This window comes from Homo sapiens, chromosome 21 (assembly GCF_000001405.40).
Source record: "Homo sapiens chromosome 21, GRCh38.p14 Primary Assembly".
NCBI classification, from domain to species: Eukaryota; Metazoa; Chordata; class Mammalia; order Primates; family Hominidae; genus Homo; species Homo sapiens.
The window spans coordinates 37455457-37474935 of NC_000021.9; the positions used below are offsets into that span (position 1 = coordinate 37455457).

General features: G+C 38.0%; 1 protein-coding gene across 7 annotated transcripts in view, besides 3 other annotated features; it reads left to right on the forward strand.

Annotated features, from left to right (window-relative positions):
* The window catches only part of DYRK1A (dual specificity tyrosine phosphorylation regulated kinase 1A), a 160786-nt gene that overhangs the window by 89884 nt on the left and 51423 nt on the right, over positions 1-19479 (forward strand). For all 7 annotated transcript variants that reach the window (NM_001396.5, NM_001347722.2, NM_001347721.2 and 4 more), the window contains one exon: positions 17228-17424. In NM_001396.5, coding sequence (NP_001387.2) covers positions 17228-17424 — 197 coding nt within the window. The remainder of the gene's footprint in view (positions 1-17227; positions 17425-19479) is intronic.
* Positions 1383-1896: an enhancer, noted in NCBI's record as "H3K4me1 hESC enhancer chr21:38829141-38829654 (GRCh37/hg19 assembly coordinates)". NCBI's record gives its function as "activates a minimal SCP1, AML or CMV promoter by ChIP-STARR-seq in naive H9 embryonic stem cells {active_cell/tissue: H9 hESC(naive)}" and the evidence as "EXISTENCE:reporter gene assay evidence [ECO:0000049][PMID:30033119]".
* Positions 1897-2408: an enhancer, noted in NCBI's record as "H3K4me1 hESC enhancer chr21:38829655-38830166 (GRCh37/hg19 assembly coordinates)". NCBI's record gives its function as "activates a minimal SCP1, AML or CMV promoter by ChIP-STARR-seq in naive H9 embryonic stem cells {active_cell/tissue: H9 hESC(naive)}" and the evidence as "EXISTENCE:reporter gene assay evidence [ECO:0000049][PMID:30033119]".
* Positions 7803-7852: a silencer, noted in NCBI's record as "silent region_13307". NCBI's record gives its function as "represses an Ori minimal core promoter by ATAC-STARR-seq in GM12878 lymphoblastoid cells {active_cell/tissue: GM12878}" and the evidence as "EXISTENCE:reporter gene assay evidence [ECO:0000049][PMID:35858748]".

The following is a 19479-nucleotide window of genomic DNA, read 5'->3' on the forward strand; positions in this document are numbered from 1 at the left end:
TAATTTAATTTCTTTTTCTGACTTTTTAAGTCACCTCTTTTTTCCAAGTCACCATGGCTTGGAACCGCTGAGTCATTCTTGAATCCAGCTGTCTCTTATCTGTCGTCCGTATTGAAACAGGTTTTGAAGTCCTGTCAGTCTGCTCTCAGAGTGTCTCTTCATGCATCTCCTTCCTTTCTTTTGCTGACAATTCCCTCCTTAAGGGCTCTCACCGTCCCGTGCTTGGGCTGGTGCAGTAAGCAACTGATAGATCTCTATTTGTGGTTCCTCCTGGTTCCAGTCCACCTTACACATTCGTTCTATCATTTAGCATTTGCCATTTGCCAGGTACCATTTTAAACATTAACTCTTTACTGTTCTTAGTACCTTGAGGTTTAAGTACTGTTATAAACCCATTCTGCAGATGGAAAGGGAGGTATGGATTTAATTGATTTGCCCAAAGCGACACAGAAGTTGGTAGCTAGCTAGTAAATGGCAAAATTGAATCCAGACTCCTTATGGTGTTAATTGCTATAGCTAAAGATGAAACTGGAGTTGTGCCACTCCTTGCACACTTTTATCTGTCACCCTCTTAGGCTGTTTTAGAAAATCCCATGTTTTAGCTTGCCATTCTGTTGACCCAGCCTGCCTTTCTAGCCTTAACTTACCCCTCTGTCTATATTCTATTTTCCAGCCAAATATGAGGTGACGTTTAAGCTGCTACTTGAAAGAGAAGTGGGAGTTAGGCAGAGCAGTAGGGGAATCATGTTTGGGGAAGAGTGAAGAGTGTACTTGAGAGAGTGTGGAGGTGCCTTGGAGGAGCTGGAGCCCAGAGGTGCCCCATGAGAACAACACAGGAGGCTGCAGGTGGAGGTGGGTGCCTGATTGTAGAATGCTTTCTAGTTGTCTTCCACAGGACATTTTTGGGAGCTATTCACAAGATTCATGGCTACCGTGCTCTAAAATTTGATGTGAAGTTCATTTTTCCTGGACTTCTTACTTAATTCCTCTGTCTTTTGGCCCAGCCACCCCTTTGCCAGTTTACACGGGTGATGAGCAGGCTGTTTGGAAAGAACGTCCTCGAGCAGGGTGCTGTTTCCTAACCCTGCGTCTTTTTCCCCTCTGAGATCAGTTTATCTTTATTCACTTGCAGGTGTTCAACAATCTTGTCTTTTATGGGGAATTTCTAATGTGTCTTGAGCACTTTCCCACCCTCCTATCTTGGAGGCATGGTTCAGAGTGGAAAAGGGCGCGGGCCCACCTACCTCTGGCCTTCCCACCTCAGCCACCATGCTTAGGGCCGTGGTGGAGTGCTTGACCTCTTTGTGTGTACAATGCAATACATGCTGGAATAATGCCACCTTATGCATAGGGCTTTTGTGGGTGTAAGGGCATACCGGAACAAGTTGGCATAGAATAAGAGTTCAGTGAATGTTGTCACTACTTTTTATTACTTTTTAATTGTGAAAAACTCACAGATTCTGTAATAAAGGGTCATAGAAACCTGCTTTATCCATACTATCATTACTGAGAATACTTTCTGGTTTGGAAAATTTGCTTGAGAGGTAAAAAGAAAATTTACTTACTTACTTACTTACTTACTTATTTATTTATTTATTTATTTATTTATTTATTTATTTATTTATTTAGTAGAGACAGAATCTCGCTCTGTTGCTCAGGCTGGAGTGCAGTAGCACGATCCTGGCTCACTGCAAACTGACTCCTGGGTTCAGGTGACTCTTGTCTCAGACTCCGGAGTAGCTGGGACTACAAATGCATGCCACCACACCTGGCTAATTTTTGTATCCCCCCCGCAAGACAGAGTCTCACTCTGTTGCCCAGACTGGAGTGCAGGGGCACGGACTCGGCTCACTGCAACCTCCACCTCCCGGGTTCAAGCTATTCTCCTGCCTCAGCCTCCCTAGCTGAGACCACAGGCGTGTACCACCATGATCGCCTAATTGTGTGTGTGTGTGTGTTTAGTAGAGGTGGGGTTTCGCCATGTTGACCAGTCTGGTCTCGAACTCCTCGCCTCAAGTGATCCGCCTGCCTCAGCCTCCCAAAGTGCTGGGATTACAGGCATGTGCCACCGCGGCTGGCCTTTTGTGTTTAACTTTTAAAGCGTCTCTGGTCAGATGAATATTTTGCCTTTTGGGTATTTTTAAATGGAAAATTTATGTAAATAATCAGTGTTTTAATTAGAATCACAAAGCCAAATGATTGCCTCATTGGATAATTTTAAGTATTATGCTGCAATTCAATATAGGTACCAAGTACTTAACTAGACTTAAAAATATCTTGTATGTTTAACAGCTGTTTAGCTAGAACTAAAAAAGAGCAAGTCCTCTATGTGTATGCTTCTCCCCTTTTCTCCCTGGGATGGGAGAAGGAAAAAGTTAATTTTTTTCCCCCTTGACTGCTGTTGCTGTGCCTGCTTTAGAAGAAGACAGAGGTAAAGATCAGGGAAGGCAACTTTGTTTCCAAAGAAACATTATGTGCCTGAAACTTAGTAACACCTTCAGACACTTCTTAAAATGGCTTGGTTATGGCATAGCTGAAGGTCTGAGGCTGTGGTAGGTAACCTTCTGCCTGTGTTGTATTCCTGGCCGCCTCTGTGTGTTCTGACCCTGCTCCTCTAGAGAGGAAAGCAGCTAAGCAGGCACCTTTCAACTTTTGAATGGCTTCATAGTATTACAGCATTTAGATGTGTTGTGCCATTCCCCCTCTTTTTGTACTTACGGGTTTCTTGGAAGACAGCTGTAATATGCCTGTAGGCACGCTAGACAAAGTTATGGTCAAGGGGGCGGTAGGGGAGGGCATCTGGGTAATTTACTGTGTGTGTGTGTGTGTGTGTGTGTGTGTGTGTGTGTGTACATATACATATGTATTATATTTTAAAAATTTTACATAACTAGTATTTCACTATCTTTTTGATTTTGAAAAAAATGAACTAAGTTGAACTTTAACCACCATTTATTAAAACATTTCTTTTAAGCTCTAAACAGAGGCTCCAGATCGTCTTTGAGGCACATTTCCTGTCCCCTGGCAACTCTGTGTGTAACGTTTCAAACCCAAGGCATTGTACAAGGGAGAGGAGTACTTTGGGTTTACATGGTTGAGGGTGATGATGAATCCTCTTATTTCATGTGTAAGAAGACCGGGTTATTTGTTGCCATGCCCCACACTGATGCTGGGGCCAAGGCAAGCAAAAGGGGACGCCTAAGTCCTAGCCTAATGTCTGTCTTCTGTAGAGCAAGCTGAACTTTCAAAGGTATTTCTCGTTTTACCTGTTTTGTAAATGAATATGCTAACTTTGCACGCCGCAGAGGAATGTGAGATATAGAGAGCAGGCCGAGGTCCATGGGGCTTCATAAAGGGCATTTTGAGCAGCTGGAGGCTTGTGGTTACCATGTCCAGGCTCTTCCCCTGCTCTCCTTAACTATCCTACAGATGCCTCTGACCTGGGAGGAAGGAAGAGAAGCCCTCATCTCCTGACTGAGAGTGGGAAGTGGCAGTCACTGAATGTGCTTGCCGTGTGACATTACTGCATGTCAGGCTGGCAGTTCACTGTTTTGTGTGTGGAGGACTGTTTCTGATGCTCTCTGCTATTTGCTAAGCCATAAATAAGGATATACCGTCTGACAACTACTATAATAGTATGAAGGACAGCTTTGAAATCAAGACGTCTGATAACCTTAAGCTGTGGTCACTGTCATTTTTCTCTTGAAAGATCCTGGACTCTCAGGATCTGGCTTACCATCTTTGATGGACAATCATTTTATTAGCTTGCTTGAAAGAATTAGTTCCTCTGTTATAATCACTGTAGTGTCAGTTGGAATGACTTGAGCCATTTTTGTAAAACTTGTGAAATCTTTATGTATTTATGAAAGTTAAACTTACTGAAGGCTGAATGACTGCAGTGAAAGTATGAATCCTTTAATTAAATAAGTGGTTAGCATTTATATAAGCAGTCTAATTAGGACCCCAAATATTTGTTCATTTTCTTTAGGGCTACTAACCTGGATGCCCGATGGAGTAATCATCACTGTCCTGTGTAGATCTTGTAGATTTTTGAAAGTACTTTCTGTCTCACAGTGGTGGTAGATTTTGTTTATTTAATTATTTAGGGGGCATGTTTTCAGTTTAGCCTGATTAGTTACCTGCTGAATAAATAATGTTATTCTAATACCCTGCTAGGAAGAAATTTATGTAATTGAAATTCTGATTTCTATGTAACGTTCTGTTTTCGTATTGAGACATGATACTGCCTGACAGGGCTGCTTCAGCAGCTGTCATCTGGTTTGTTGTTTCTTGTGTTGTTATATGGATTCTGCTAGCCTAAAAGGCATTCTTCTCTGTGTCTCTGCAGGGCTGTCCAGTGAGTCATCTAAAATTAAACTTTGATCAGAAATAAGTTTCGTTTTTTTCCCGCAAAGGACTGGAGTGAGTGGGCTTGAGAATACTTGTATGCAAATTAAAAATATATATATTCATAAATATTTGGGAGCATTAGGTCAAGTGCCAATTAAGTCAGGAAGGATCCTGCAGCCATAGTCATGAAGATAAACTTTTTAAATTGCATTTGCTCAAACTTAAACATGTTTGTGAGTATTTTGTATAAGCGACCATTATTTCAGTTGCTATGTTAGATTTGTTGCTTTCTTTAGCATGGATTTTTTTTTTTTGGTAAAGTGTTAGTTTTTAATGTTTCAAAAGATTTTTTTTGCAGTCATTTAAAATCAATTGTCAGTTAATACCTAAAATTCGGCAGATTGTATGTTTTATTTATTGCAACATGTTGAGAATCTTTTGTTTCCTGTTGACATTTTAAAAATCTCCTAATGGCAGATTGATTTGTCTGTGCTCTTTTTGTATTATTAAGTCAGGCAGCAGATACTTAGAGAGCTTCTGCTGTTTTAAGCCATGGGGAGGCAGTAGCGAACAAAAGGGGTGGGGGAGTCTTGCGGCGTTCACATCTCAGAAATGTTACTGCGCTATGAGGGAGACTTTGGCCTCTAATCCACTGTTAGCCACTAGCCTCCAGTCAAAGTTAGAGAACCACCGGTCTTCATTCTTTTCATTAAGTGGTTGGACTTGTCTAAAAAGGTTTAATTTCACCTCCAGACTTTGTCTTGAGACATTGCGTGTCTTTGTTTACCTGTCTTTTGTTTCCAAACGTCCCTACGCTCATTCCTAGATTTAATTAAGGGCTCAAAGACTGCTCAATACCTTGTTTTGTACTAAGTAGGGAAGAATTTTAATTTAAATAGGTTTCATTACTGATTATTAATTTAAAATTTATGGGCACTACAAGAAAAACTATTTCTCTACCTGGAATTTTCATGACTGCCAATAACTTAGTACTAGGTGGTATTATCTGCTTTATTCATTCTTATTATTTAAAATATTTTATAACTTTAGGATATTAAAGAAAATATAAATTTACCCATATTATATGTTATCCTCTGTACAATATGATAATTTATGGAATCCAGCAGCTATATGTTGGATTACTATTTTAATCTTTTCTGTCTTCCAGATGGTATTACCAAAAATAAATCCTTGGCCTCCTATTTCAGCTGTAAGAATTTGGCTTACCTTTTGTAATCAAGAGTGGTAAGGGCCCTTTTACTGTAGGGTTAAGTAAGATTTTCTGTTATTTAGTTGTTGAGGATAGTACAGTTCCTAAAAAATGATACGTGCTTGTTAAATACAGAATGAATGAAAAGCACACATCTGCATATTAGTCTTAAAGTTTTAAGATGATTATTTTTGATTTTCAAATATAGGTAGTATTTCATTTTATTTAAGTTATACATTTATTTAAATTATCTAAGTTATAATAAAATGGCAAAACCACAACTACTTTTACACCAACCGAATACTTACATTTATTTCTCCTGTCCTTTGTGCTGTGATTGTTTTATTTATATGTAATAAACTCCACAATGTTATTTTTGCTTTGAACAGTCAGTTGGCTTTCAAAAATATTAAGAAAAAATGTCTTTTATATTTATCTACATACATATTTACATTTCTGGTGCTCTTTATTCCTTTGTGTGAATCTCAGTTTCTGTCTGGAATCATTTTCCTTCTGTGAACTTGTGTGAACATTTTTTGAGGGCGGATCTACTGTTGACAAATTCTTTCACTTTCATGGGTCTGAAAAAGTATTTTGCCTTCGTTTTTGAAGGGTGTTCTCACCGGATATAGATTTGTAGGTTAAAGGTCTTTTTTATTTTCATCATTTAAAGATGTTTTATTTTCTTCTGGCGGTGCACATGGTTTCTGGTGAGAAAGTGGTGACTCCCCTATATGGAAACAGGTGTTTTTGTCTCTGGCTGCTTTTACAATTTTTTTCTTCATCATTGGTTTTCAGCAGTTTGGTTGAGTTGCCTCAGTGTGATTTTTGTGTGACTTTTTCCTTTTTTTTTTTTTTTTAAACTTGTTTTCAGTTTGGTTAATTTATATTGCTTTGTTTTTCCATTCACTTATCTTTTCTTCTGCGGTGTCTGAACTGCTATTAGGTCCGTTCAGTGAATTTTTCATTTGAGTTATTTTGTTTCTCATTTTTAGAATTTCCATTTAGTTCCTTTTCGTAGATTCTATTTCTCTATTAAGATTCACTATTCCCTTATTTTGTCCATGTTTTCCTTTATATTTTAAAACATTCATAATAGTGGTTTTGGTCTGCTAACTTCACTCTTTCTGTCATTTCTGAGTCTTAAATGGATTTTTTCCTCCCGAATACAGACCACATTTTCTTGCTTCTTGCTGTGCCTAGTGAATTGGGCTGGCTATGGGGATGAGGAATGCTGGCCCGTGAGTGTTTGGATTTTGTTGTTCTCTTTAAAGAGTGTTGAATGTCGTCCTGGCAGGCTGTTAATTCACTTGCAGACCATCTTGATCCTTTGAGGTTTGTTTCAGTCTCTGTTAGAACAGGGGCCAGCCTTTACTGTAGGGCTGGATTAGCCCTAGCCCTAAATGTGGATTTTCTGGGGTCTCTGTTGAATGTCTGTGGGTTTCTCCACTGTAGCCTGTTTGAACACTCAATGTCTTACAGTCTTGTGTGAATTTTAGTAGTTATTCAGTTCACAGTTCCCTGGTAGTTGTTCTGTGCCTGGCTTCATGGTCCTTCTCCCAGTGCTTGTGCAGCTTAGCATTTGGCCAAAGAGTCAAGGAGAACCCTATGTACGGATTGATGGAGCTCCTTCTCTTTTTGTTACCTGCTGCACAAATTCCAGCCAATTCAGTGGCCTTGAACTCTTCCTTCTGTCTCTGCAGCACAGTGAGATTGCTGTGTTCTGTTTGGGCTCCCCCTTCCTATATTGTACCCTGGAAAGTGCCTCTAGATAGGAAACCAGGGGGATTGTAGGGCTCACCAAGAGTGATTTCTTTTTTCAGTCATCACGATTCTGCACTGCCTGTTGTCCAGTGTTTGAAAACGGTTATTTCGTATGTTTTGACTAGTTCTTTAGTTGTTTATGATGAATGAGGGAGTCTGGTACCAGGTACTCTACAAAGGTCATAAGTGGAAATCTGATAATACAAATTCCTAAGGGTAACATGTTTTTATCCATAACCCATTGTTACTAACAATTTTAATATATAGATTCAGTTAATCTTTCATGCTGAAAAACCTGAGATTTTATTTACGTCTTATATGAGCAATTTCATTGTGTTTCTAGATAATTGAGTATGCTCTTTTGGCTAGTGGGTTGACAAGCTTGTGTGTGCATGTGTGTGTGTGTGTGTTTAATGTTGGCACGTGTGTGTGTGTGTGTGTGTGTGTGTGTGTATCCTGTAGTAACACATATTGGCCACTAGAGGGTAATAAGAAAGCAGTTCATTTGTTCTTATTGGCTCACTGTTACTAAATAGTCCTTATCATTAGACTTTTTGCATAGTCACAGTCATTGCTTACTTTCACTTTAATATATATTTATTTAACACCTTCTGTGGAGCCAGGCACTGCACTGTGTGCTTGGGATATAAAAATGAGTAAGAGCAGTTGACTGAGCAATAGCTGTAGCCTGTGCTATAAGACTTTTCTCTGCTTTTGATTCAAGAACCCCTCATTTAAAAAATACTACATTCATCCTTACCTCCCGTGCAGTCCCCTCCCTCCCTCTCTCAATGATTTCTTCACAGTCTAAATATTCCTGATGGATTCAGTTCATTCCTTTATTGCACAGATATTTATTGAATGCAGGCCATGTGCCAGGCACTGTTCTTGGTGCTGATGATAAAATCGTGAACAAAGCTTACTCATGGACTTTCGTTCACTTACCCTCTTAATCATGTGCCTTTATTTCCGGCCATCATTAGAGGTGCAATTCATTTTGGATGTGCCTTGTTGCTAGGGACCTCGTGGGTTTTTGCCCACATAAGCTTGGTTGCCCTCCTCATTTCTTAGTGGATTCTGTCTTAGAACCTCAGCCTCATAAGTTTCCACATTTAGATGCTATAGTTTTAATTAAATTATTTTCATTTACTTTTTGTTCTTTAATATTGTTCTTTGATTTAACTGTTTCTCTTTAAAATCTACTATCAATTAATACTGTCACAGGAATGGTCCCCTGTTAACACATTACTAACAAAGAAATTCAGGTTAGGTAAGAATAACATTCAGATCTACAAGTAGAGCTACGTGTGGGTTATGTATCAGAGATGATGGCTTCTGATACTTGTTATTTTTACTTTTTTGTTTTTAAACTTAGGGTCTTTTCTCATGCTTTTTGTATTTGCTGTTTCCTCTGTGTTTACCACTATCTTTTTGAATCTTATGTCCCAGTCTTTGAGATGTGTTGTTTATGAAATATTTCTCTGTAGAATCAGTGCTGATCCATACTGGTAATATGGTCTCTAGTTATTATAGTTCCTTGCTAGAACATAGTAACGTGGCTGAAGTAAGAAAGCTGCTTCATTTTTCTTTTAGTAAAATATTGAATTTTTCCCAAGTTTAGCAAAGTTACAGAAACATGCTCATGGTAAAAATGATCCATACAGTTCAGAAGCACGTAAAGACAGAACTCCACATGCATGATTTTCTCCAACATGCTTTCCATACTGTTTGACAGCAGTTGAAAATACTTTGGAACTGCACTCCAAATGATGATTTTAGATAGCTTTGAATTATTTGTTAAGTTCATCATTAAATTATAACATTATCTGATGTTAAAACATGTATTGTGATACATTCTTAAGCTAAGATATTATTATACTGAGTTGAATAAAGATTATATAATACGGTAGATAGTAGGTTGAACCATATGAAATTACTGTTTTTGTAAGCCAAGGGTAGTCAGAAATCTATCAGCAGTTTCATATGGTTCCGCATAATACTTTATATGATCATCCCTGTTACAGGATGAACTGAGTCATTTTTTCCATTAACATTTGCATTAAAATTTTAGGAAGATAGAAACTTAAGAGTAAAAACATGGGTAATTTGCTTAATTATGAAATCAGGTTAACTAGAAATACGCATATTAGTTTTGTCCCCTTGGAATCTTATCATAGGAAAGGAATGAATGAATGGATAACTTAAATACTTTTTGGTGTTGCAGGAGGAAATTAAACTTAGGTTTATTCTGAATTTCATACACAGCAGTCGAGTTAAGAAAGGAGACAATGAGCATGTGGCAAGCACACCTCGTTTATATACCATGTTTACCAGCAGTCCTCCTGTACTGGTGGCTTAATCTTTCTTCACTTTCACTAAATAACTGATAATGTCACTAACTAGTTATGATAGGTGTTATAATACATAGCTAAAAAGGTACCAGAAGTGAAAAAGTTTTTTCTTGCCAATTCACATTCAGATCATCCACAGCAAATTCCAAAAAGAACATCAGATTCTTTGTCACCTAGCATATCACCGTTATGCATGGGAATGTGTATTATTCTCCCTAAAAAAAGTTTCAACTTTATAACTAGAAAAGTAAATCTATTGGGGAAAAAAAACCCTCTAGTGTATTGTTTAGATAGACTATAACTTATTTTTGGATTATCCACTACTTGAATTAGTTGGAGAACAGCTTTCTTTTATTAAGGTGACCAATGCTTTTCAAAATAGTATTGGCATCATCTGATGACTTGTTAGAAATGTTGACCCTTGGCCAGGCATGGTGGCTCATGCCTGTAATCCTAGCACTTTGGGAGGCCAAAGTGAGTGGATCACCTGAGGTCAGGAGTTCAAGACCAGCCTGGCCAACATGGTGAAACTCTGTCTCTACTAAAAATACAAAAATTAGCTATGGGTGGTGGCGGGTGCCTGTAATCCCAGCTAGTTGGGAGGCTGAGGCAGGAGAATTGCTTGACCCTAGGAGACAAAGGTGGCAGTGAGCCAAGAGTGCACCACTGCCCTCCAGCCTGGGTAACAGCGCAAGACTCTGTCTCAGAAAAAAAAAAGGAAATGTTGACTTTCAAGCTCTACTGAATCAGAACCGTCATTTTTAAAAAGATTGAAAAACAATTTGCAGGCACATTAAAGTCCAAGAAGTGCTGTTACAGATTATGAATGGCATTGTCACCTCCGCAAGACAGTGCTGATGCAGCCCCTCAGTAAGTGCTTGTTGAATTTAATGCATATAATTCACTCAATCTAGATTCAAAAAATGAAACAAGTATTTCAGGAGGGTAGTGATAACAGCAGTAATCAAGGGAACTACCTGTTTCTTTGTAATTCTTTCATAGCTATCTGGATGTCACAGAATTACCCATCTTTCCTTCCAGATGCATCTTTCAGTCTGATTCTATCCATGCTGGATGGTCATTTGGATGTCTTGTGAATACAGTAGATATACACACATATGTGTATGGATGAGAGAGCAACAGAATTAAAACAGAAATCAACATAGTGGATGAGTTTAGGGAGTAATTAGATTTTGATTAGTCAAGGATGCATAATCTTTTGTAATATTGTAATATATAAGGTAACTAAAAAATAAAAATATGGGGAGATGATATAAAAAATTCCAGCAAAAGATAAGAAAGGAAAAGGAACATAAAACAGTTGGAACAAATAGATTGTTAGTGTTCATTTATAGATACAGCTCAACCACATACTCTTTACAAGAGATAAACCTAAAATACAAGGAAACAGAAGAAGGTAAAGGTAAAAAGATGGACAAAAGACATACCATACAAAAATTGATGCAGAGAAGGCTTGGTGTAGTCAGACTGATAACAGATAAAGCAAAAAGCTTTACTAGAAATAAAGAGGGCAGTTTATGATGATAAAAGGTATTATTCATCAGGAAGGCATAACAACCCTGAATTTGTATTATCCAGTATAACACTTTAAGTAGGAGATTTTTAATACATTGTTGTTGGTAACTGATAGAACAAGATGAGACCAAAATTTAAAAAAAAATACCTATATAAGACAGCATACTTAATAAAATTAAACCTTTGATGAGGCGGACCATGAAGAAAGAGAAGACCTCATTAACCAATGTTGAGGTGAAGAGGATATCACAAAAGCTTATGAGAAGATATTATAAAAACTTGATGTCAGTCCATTTGAAATTTAGATGAAGTTATACTATTAGAAAACTACAACTTAACAGACACAGCAGAAAATAGAAAATCTGAATAGTCCTATTAAACATGATCCTTAGTGGAAAGAGCTACCCACTAGTTTTGAAGTCTTTGGGATTTACAAAAGAAAAAAAAAAAAAAACAAAACAAAAAAACGGAAACTATCCACAAGCAAAACTCCTGGTCCAGAAGGTTTCACCAGTGAATCTACCACACACGCATAAAATCATGACCAAATCGCATTCCAGAAATGGAAAATCTTTTTTTGTTTGTTTTCACAGGATCTTGCCCTGGGCTAGAGTGCAAGTGGTGCAATCATGGCTCACTGCACCCTCCTCCTCCTGGGCCCAGGTGATCCTCTAACCTCAGCCTCCTGAGTAACTGGGACCATAGGCATGTGCCACCACACCCTACTAATGTTTTAATTTTTTTGTAGAGATGGGGTCTCACTATGTTGTCTAGGCTGGTCTCAAACTCCTGGGCTCAAGTGATTTTCCCACCTTGGCCTCCAGATTGCTGGGATTACTGGTGGGAACCACCATGCTTGGCTCAAGGAAAGTCGTTTATCATTTCAAAAATCAATCAGCGTCATTCACCACATCAACAGAGTAAATCAGAAAGGTCATCTCATTTCAGTAGATACAGAAAGAGCATTTAATAAAAGTCAGCATCTATTCATGAGGAAAAGGTCTTAGAAAACTAGCAGTAGAAGGAAACTTTGTTAATCTGGGAATAGTATCTGTTAAAAACCTGCAGCAACCATAATACTGGAGAAATGTTGAAAGCTTTCTTTCTAAGAAAGCTGTATTTCCAAGATTGAGAATATGTGAGAGTAGTGTCTGTTACCTCCTTTTTAAATCATCACTGTACTAAAGGTCCCAGCAAGTAGAATAAGGCAAGGGAAAGAATAAGGATTGGAAAAGAAAAATAAAATTGTTCAGATGCTCACTAGCCACATGTGGCTATTTGCTACATTACTGATACAGGTAAATCCATCATTGCGGAAAATTCTGTTGGGCACCACCATTCTATAGAGATCAATGCAATTTCAATTTCAACATCCCAACATGGATTTGTTTTGGTGGATTTGATGAGGTGAATCAGGAACTTACATGGAATAGCCAAACTTACTTACTTTTTTTTTCTTTTAGAGGTAAGGTCTCTGTTACCCAGGCTGGAGCACATACAGTGGCACAATCATAACTCACTGCAGCCTTGAAATCTTGGGCTCAGGCAGTCCTCCCACCCGAGCCTCCTGAGTAATTGGAACTACAGGTGTGCGTCACCATGCCTGGCTTTTTTTTTTTCTTACAGAGATGAGGTGGTGGTGTGTTTCCCAGGCTGGTCTCAGACTCTCGGGCTCAAGTGATTCCCGCCTTGGCCTCCCAAAGCCCTGCAATTACAGGCATGAGCCCCTGCGCCTGGCCTGCCAAAACATTCTTGAAGAAGAACAGAATTTCCTGTTGGATCTTAAAATTTTTAAAGCTATTGTAATTTAGGTAGTGTCCAGTTCTTGAACAGAGACCTAGGTAGGTAAGTCTGTATCCAGTAGAACAGAATAGGCAGTCCAAAACTAGATCCAAGCATAAAGGGAAATGTGATTTATGATAAGGATGGGGTTACAGAGCAGTGGAGAATGTTTGTCTTTTAAATAATTGGTTAAGGATCAATTGGATGTTAATTTGGAGGGGGAAATGAAACTTGATTCCTATTTTACACAGAAGTCAAATGCAAATGGATTTTGCATTTAGATGTGAGAGAGAAAGCCCAGTGTTTAGAAGGTAATAGATTTTTTTCATGACTTTGATATAAGGAAAAATTTCTTAGATTCCAAAAGTATAGTACTAATTGTAAAGCAAAAGTTGATAAAATTAAGAACTTTTATTCATCAAAGTATACCATTAAGAGGGTGACAAGGCAAGCTGCCTGTAACCAATAGGGGCTCGATCATATTCAGAATATGGATTTTTAAAAATCCTAGAAATTTGTAAGAAATGGGCTTACAATTCAGTAGAAAAAATAGAAAAGCAACCTGAATGTACATTTCACGATGTGATGTATAAGTGGCCAATAGACATGCAAAAATGCTCAGAGTAACTAGGAAAATGCAAATTAAAAACCACATTGGAGTACCACAGCACAAATACACTTAGCATAATGGCTGAAATTAGACTGATGATTGCATGCCATAGTGAAGGAGTGGAGCGTGAGAATTTTTCATAAACTGCTAGTGGATAAATTGATTGGAACAAAAAAAGACCAGAAAAACAACAGGACAGCATCTCTGTGTATACCAAACGATGCATAACAAGAAGCTTACAAGTGGCAGTGTTCATAGTAGCCCCAAACTGGAAATAATCCAGGTGTCGGTCAGTAGTAGAATGGATAAATTATCATTTGTCCATATTGTTGTAAAGCAAGGTAATGGACAAACTGCAGTTTATAGGCATAAGATGAAGTAAACAATTCTACTCTATTACATTAGTTTGTACTTGCCCTGCTATAAATAAATACCTGAGACTGGGCAATTTATAAAGAAAGGAGGTTTAGTTGGCTCATGGTTCTTTCTTCAGGCTGTACAGGAAGCATGAAAGCCTCTGGGGAGGCTTCAGGAAGACTTTCAATCATGGCAGAAGGCGTTGGAGAAGCAGGCATGTCTTACATGGCCTGCAAAGTCAGGCAAAAGGGGGAGGTGCCACACAGTTTTAAACAGCCTTTTTTCGTGAGAACTCTTATCACGAGGATAGCACTAGGGGGGATGGTGCTAAACCATTAGAAACCACCCTCCTAATCCAATAACCTCCTACCGGGGCCCTCCTCCAATATTGGGGATTACAGTTCGACATGAGAATTAGGCAGGGACACAGATCCAAACTGTATCACCTGCTTATATGAAAACATCACGCCTGTAATCCCAGCACTTTGGGAGGCTGAGGCGGGTGGATCACGAGGTCAGGAGATCGAGACCATCCTGGCTAACATGGTGAAACCCTGTCTCTACTAAAAATACAAAAAATTAGCCAGCGTGGTGGTGGGCACCTGTAGTCCCAGCTCCTCGGGAGGCTGAGGCAGGAGAATGGCGTGAACCTGGGAGGCGGAGCTTGCAGTGAGCCGAGATTGTGCCACTGCACTCCAGCCTGGGTGACAGAGCGAGACTCTGTCTCAAAAATAAATAAATAAAAACAAATCGGGTTTTGGAGGTCAGGATAGTAGTAACTTTTGAGGAAGAGGAAGGAGGTGTTGGTTAGAAAGGGTCATAGAGTGGTGTGGTGGGTTTCTGGGATGCTGGCCATTTTTTCCCCGTTTCGTGACACAGATTGATTTTATGATAGTAATTTAAGCTTTGTGCTAATGATTTTTATCCTCTTTTCTACAATATTGCATTGAATAAGTTTAAACATAGTATATAACAGTGACATAGATAATAAAAACAGAAGCTAACATTTTTATAAAAAGTGTTTGGTGTGTGTCACAGGTTTCATTCTGTGTGCCTGTTGGTGGTATCTCATTTAAACTTTGTAACAAGGAATAGGGTCAGTATAGTAATACCTCTGCTTCATAGATAGGGAATCTAAGGCTTTGAATGGTTAAGAAATTTGCCAGTCACAGCCTTAGTCTTTTACTGTTTATAAGAACTTTTTATATATTAAGGACCTCAATTCTTTTTATTTATATTCCTTCCTACCTTTTTCTTTTTAATGTTCAGATTTAAAAGCCCTCATCACCCCCAGTATTTGAATTTAGATTTTCAATGTTTTGCTTTTACAAACAACACCAGGATAAACATGCTTGGCATCTTTGTGCACATCATTGATTATTGCCTTAGTGTAAGTTTGTAGAAGTTCTTTTAAAAAGTGAACAAGGTTGTTTTACAGAATTGAATTGAATGAAAGTATTTTTGACTATGAATGATGAAATGTTTAGAAAAGTTGGCCATCTTTCACCACAGTTGTACTATCCTTTTACTTATTTAATAAACATTATTAATCATGTAGATTGGGAAAGTTAAGGACCTCACTGTAATGGGGAGAGACAGAAGAGAATCTAAAGTCTGAAAGCAATGCTAGGGGCAGTTGACATTCCAGCTTCAGCAGGGGTAGAGGACTTGAGATTTGTATTTTAGAAAGGTCACTTTAGCCATGTTATTGAGTAGATCCAGAATTGAAAATAGAATAAAGACAGCTATTAGGAATCTGTTTTGGTAATCTTAAGTGTTATATGTGGTGATGTAGATGAAAAGGTTGTGTTTGAGTATTCTGTTAGGAGAGGGAATGAGCAAGATTGGGCAGCTGTAAGGGAAGAACTCTAACATGACTGCCAGAGTGTTGAGTCTCGTTGACTGCGTAGGAAATGGTGTCATTCCCTGTGGTGGAAAGTAGAGGTGGAACTTATGTTTGGGGAGCTTTGTTCTCTTTGTTTTGCAGAGTGTGTGCCACATTCAGGTAGAGATGGTATGCTCCACAAGGTGGGCACTGGCCCCATGAGCCTTTACTGCACATTGACTGTGCATTACTCTACAGTACTTGCAGATAACATTGGGCCATTTATTAATTGCCAGAGCTGTTCTGAGTATGTTGTATGTACTAAAGCACTAAACCTTCATAACAACCTTTTCAGGTAGGTATTATTATCATTATCAGGATATTAGGTATGCATGGCCATACAGCTGGTCACCGGTAGTGCTGGGATCTCCAACCCCAGCAACCTGGCTGAGAGTCTGTGCCCTTCACTGTTGGACCACCATTATTGTGTGTCTTGAAAATGGTAGAAGTCGGAAGTATTTTGCTACTGAGCGTTATGGTCGGTTGTGTTGTGGCTGTTAGCTGGTTCATTCAGGAGGACAGGCACAAGTATTTTGAATCTAGTCATTCTTGTTGACCAAGGTTTTAGGCTTTAGTCTGTGATTACAAATTTGGCTGAATTTAAGAAAAATCTTTTTTTTATCCTTTTCTTAAAGAATTACCTTTTATTAGATACCATTACTTTTATGGACCAAAGTGTTAATTTTTCATTTCCACCATGGATATCATGATCATGGTTCATCCTACCCGTAGGATAATTATTGGTTATTTTTTCTTTGTGGTGAGCTTGCCAGGTCTAGATTCCCTTAGGACTGTTTGAAAGGTGCAGAGAAATCCAACGACCTTGGGTTGAGAAGTTTAGTTCTGTGTTTTATGTTTGTTTTCCTGTTTTTATATCCAACCTTTGATTGCCTGTGTCAGTGGAGAGCACCATAAGGTTTCACCTGGTTTGGGGAATGCTGGCGATGTTGTTTGCCGTAAACCTGGCAGCAGGTGCAAAATAGCATCTCAGAAATGTTCCTTTGAGTTGGTTTGTGAGGAGCTGGTCTGTTGGAGAAGTCCCTCAATAATTAAAAGATTACTTATTTAACTTGTATTATGGTTCTTAATTTATGAAAATCTCGTAGGTGAAAGTAAGTCTTAAAGGTTGTTGCTGTTGCTTTACAAAAAGATTTTCTGAAGATTTTCTCAATACAAGTTTATATTCATTTTAATCACTATGGATCTTCTATACCATTAAAAACATAACTGTTGTGTTGAGTAACATATACCTGTTTGTAGTTAGAAAAGTTTTTTAATATTGAATATCCTAAAGTTCTTATTTAAGGAACCATTAGATATGTCAAATGATACAAACATTAGGATATGAATATTTCCTTTAAACCTCACTTATCTTCTTGTAGGAGGAGAGACTTCAGCATGCAAACCTTCATCTGTTCGGCTTGCACCGTCATTTTCATTCCATGCTGCTGGCCTTCAGATGGCTGGACAGATGCCCCATTCACATCAGTACAGTGACCGTCGCCAGCCAAACATAAGTGACCAACAGGTTTCTGCCTTATCATATTCTGACCAGATTCAGCAACCTCTAACTAACCAGGTAAGTTCATGGAGTATCAGAAATGACTATTGGAATGGCAGTTTATTCCTTAAAAATGTTGGAATACTAAGTAGGCAAAATGCTTTAATGGCTTTCAGTTTTACATGCAACGTGGGATTATGGATTGGGAAAACATGTTAAGAAGTTTGCATTAAATTTTTTTTTTTTAATTTTTACTTGTATTTCACTTAAACACTCATAAACATAACCACAGTCTCTCATTCTGTAATAGAAAGGGGAAAAGTTATTTCTGAAGAATATTAAAGGATCTTGAAGAAAAAGCTTATTTTTATGGAAAGGTGGCTAAGTTAAAACCGTTACAGGAAAGCAAGTCAGATTCCATTACAGCAAACTTACAGAACCAATTTTGTGTTATTTTAAACTACCTTTCTACACATTTGTAAAAATAAATACAAAACTCCCTAAAATTCAAAAGAGATGTATGCAAATTAACCGTGCTATTTATTCTAATATTCAGACAGGCTATTCACCATTTTTCTATGAAGTGAATGGTGTAAATAGAATACATGCTGAACTCTTGGTACTCACACACACATACACATGCATATATATGTATGTGTATGTATTTTTAATATCTTTCTAAATTAACTGCACCGTCTACGTTGAGTTTTGGTTTGGGAGACTTAACAGCTGTAGTTGTGTGAAAGTTTCTTGCCCCACGGATATTTGATGTGTGATGAGCACTGAAAATGGCTGCTTTTCCATGGACTTAGAAATTTGGTTTGCCATTCTTTTGTTTAGGTCTTTTAATATATTGTGTGAGGATAAAAGAGTTGGGAGATTTAAAAGTATGTCTTTTCCTGGTGTCTTGTTTATATTAAAACGTGTTTGTAATAAAATTTTGCTAGTAGGCTGACATAATGTTTAAAATATACAACATGTTAACATTCACAGTTAAATCGTTACAATAAGATGAATTTGGCAGGACTTAAGATTTTATGTAGTGAATTGATTTCAGTTTAGTTGCGTGTTTGAGAATTGGGACAGTTGTTCAGAATGTCCAAGTTTAGGAAGTGTTTAATTGTGTACCAGAAGAAAACTGCCTGGAAATCTAATAATAATAACACGATGATCCATTTGCACTTTGAGGAAACCAAGTTGATTCAGATTAATTTTCCCACTTGTTCAAAAGCAGCCTGTCAGGCAGAGTGCTGTTTTTAATGTGTTTCACAGCTGAAAGGACTGCGCTCCCATTTGTGACTTTTCCGTGTGTGAGCAGGAGACTGTGGGGTCCAGCCTGGGCTTCCTTCTTCTTAGATACAGTGCTCTTTCAGGTCTAACCTCTGGTGTCTACAGCGGGCTAGGAAAACTTCCAGTCCTTTAAAGTCATTTTTATCATTATATTATTTTAGTAAATAATTTAATTAACAAAGCACCTATTTTTATATCCAACTAACGTCTTATGTGTATTTGGATCATATAAAATAAGAGATATTTCACTTACTATTTCTGTTTTAAGCTATGAAATACTTTTAAAGATTTGTGTGATGTAAAAAGACTATCTTTAAAGTAATAATACTCAGCCAAATATTTCTGCCAAAATCCAAAAATTTCTGGGCCTAATAAGGGAGTCATATTAGAGGATCCCTTTCCTGTAACTAAAGTGTAGGCTGCGTATTAAGTGGCATAGTCTAGTCATAGGACCTGGCTTCAAGGTCTTGGCCGGCTCATGATCTGGTTGTAGGATTTGAGTTAGGTTATTTGTACCCTTCATATCTGTTCCTTGGGTGTCAAATTGGCACCTCCGACTAGAACCCCCAACACATACAAAGTACCTTTTAGCTGTAAACTTACTGTAATTTCATTATTTAATTTTCATTGTTTCTTGTTAATCATCCTATCAGATGTCTTTTAAAAGAGAAATAGAGCGAAAGTAGGTGTAGAAGAGGAAGACTGATGTTTGGAATGCTGGCTCTCTGGGCTATTCTAGTTTTCACAATATCTTCCATAGTTCTTAAATTCTAGTACCCTGGATATGTGTTATAGATGCTATTCAGCTTTATTAATGCTCTCAAAATAACAAGAAAGGCAGAA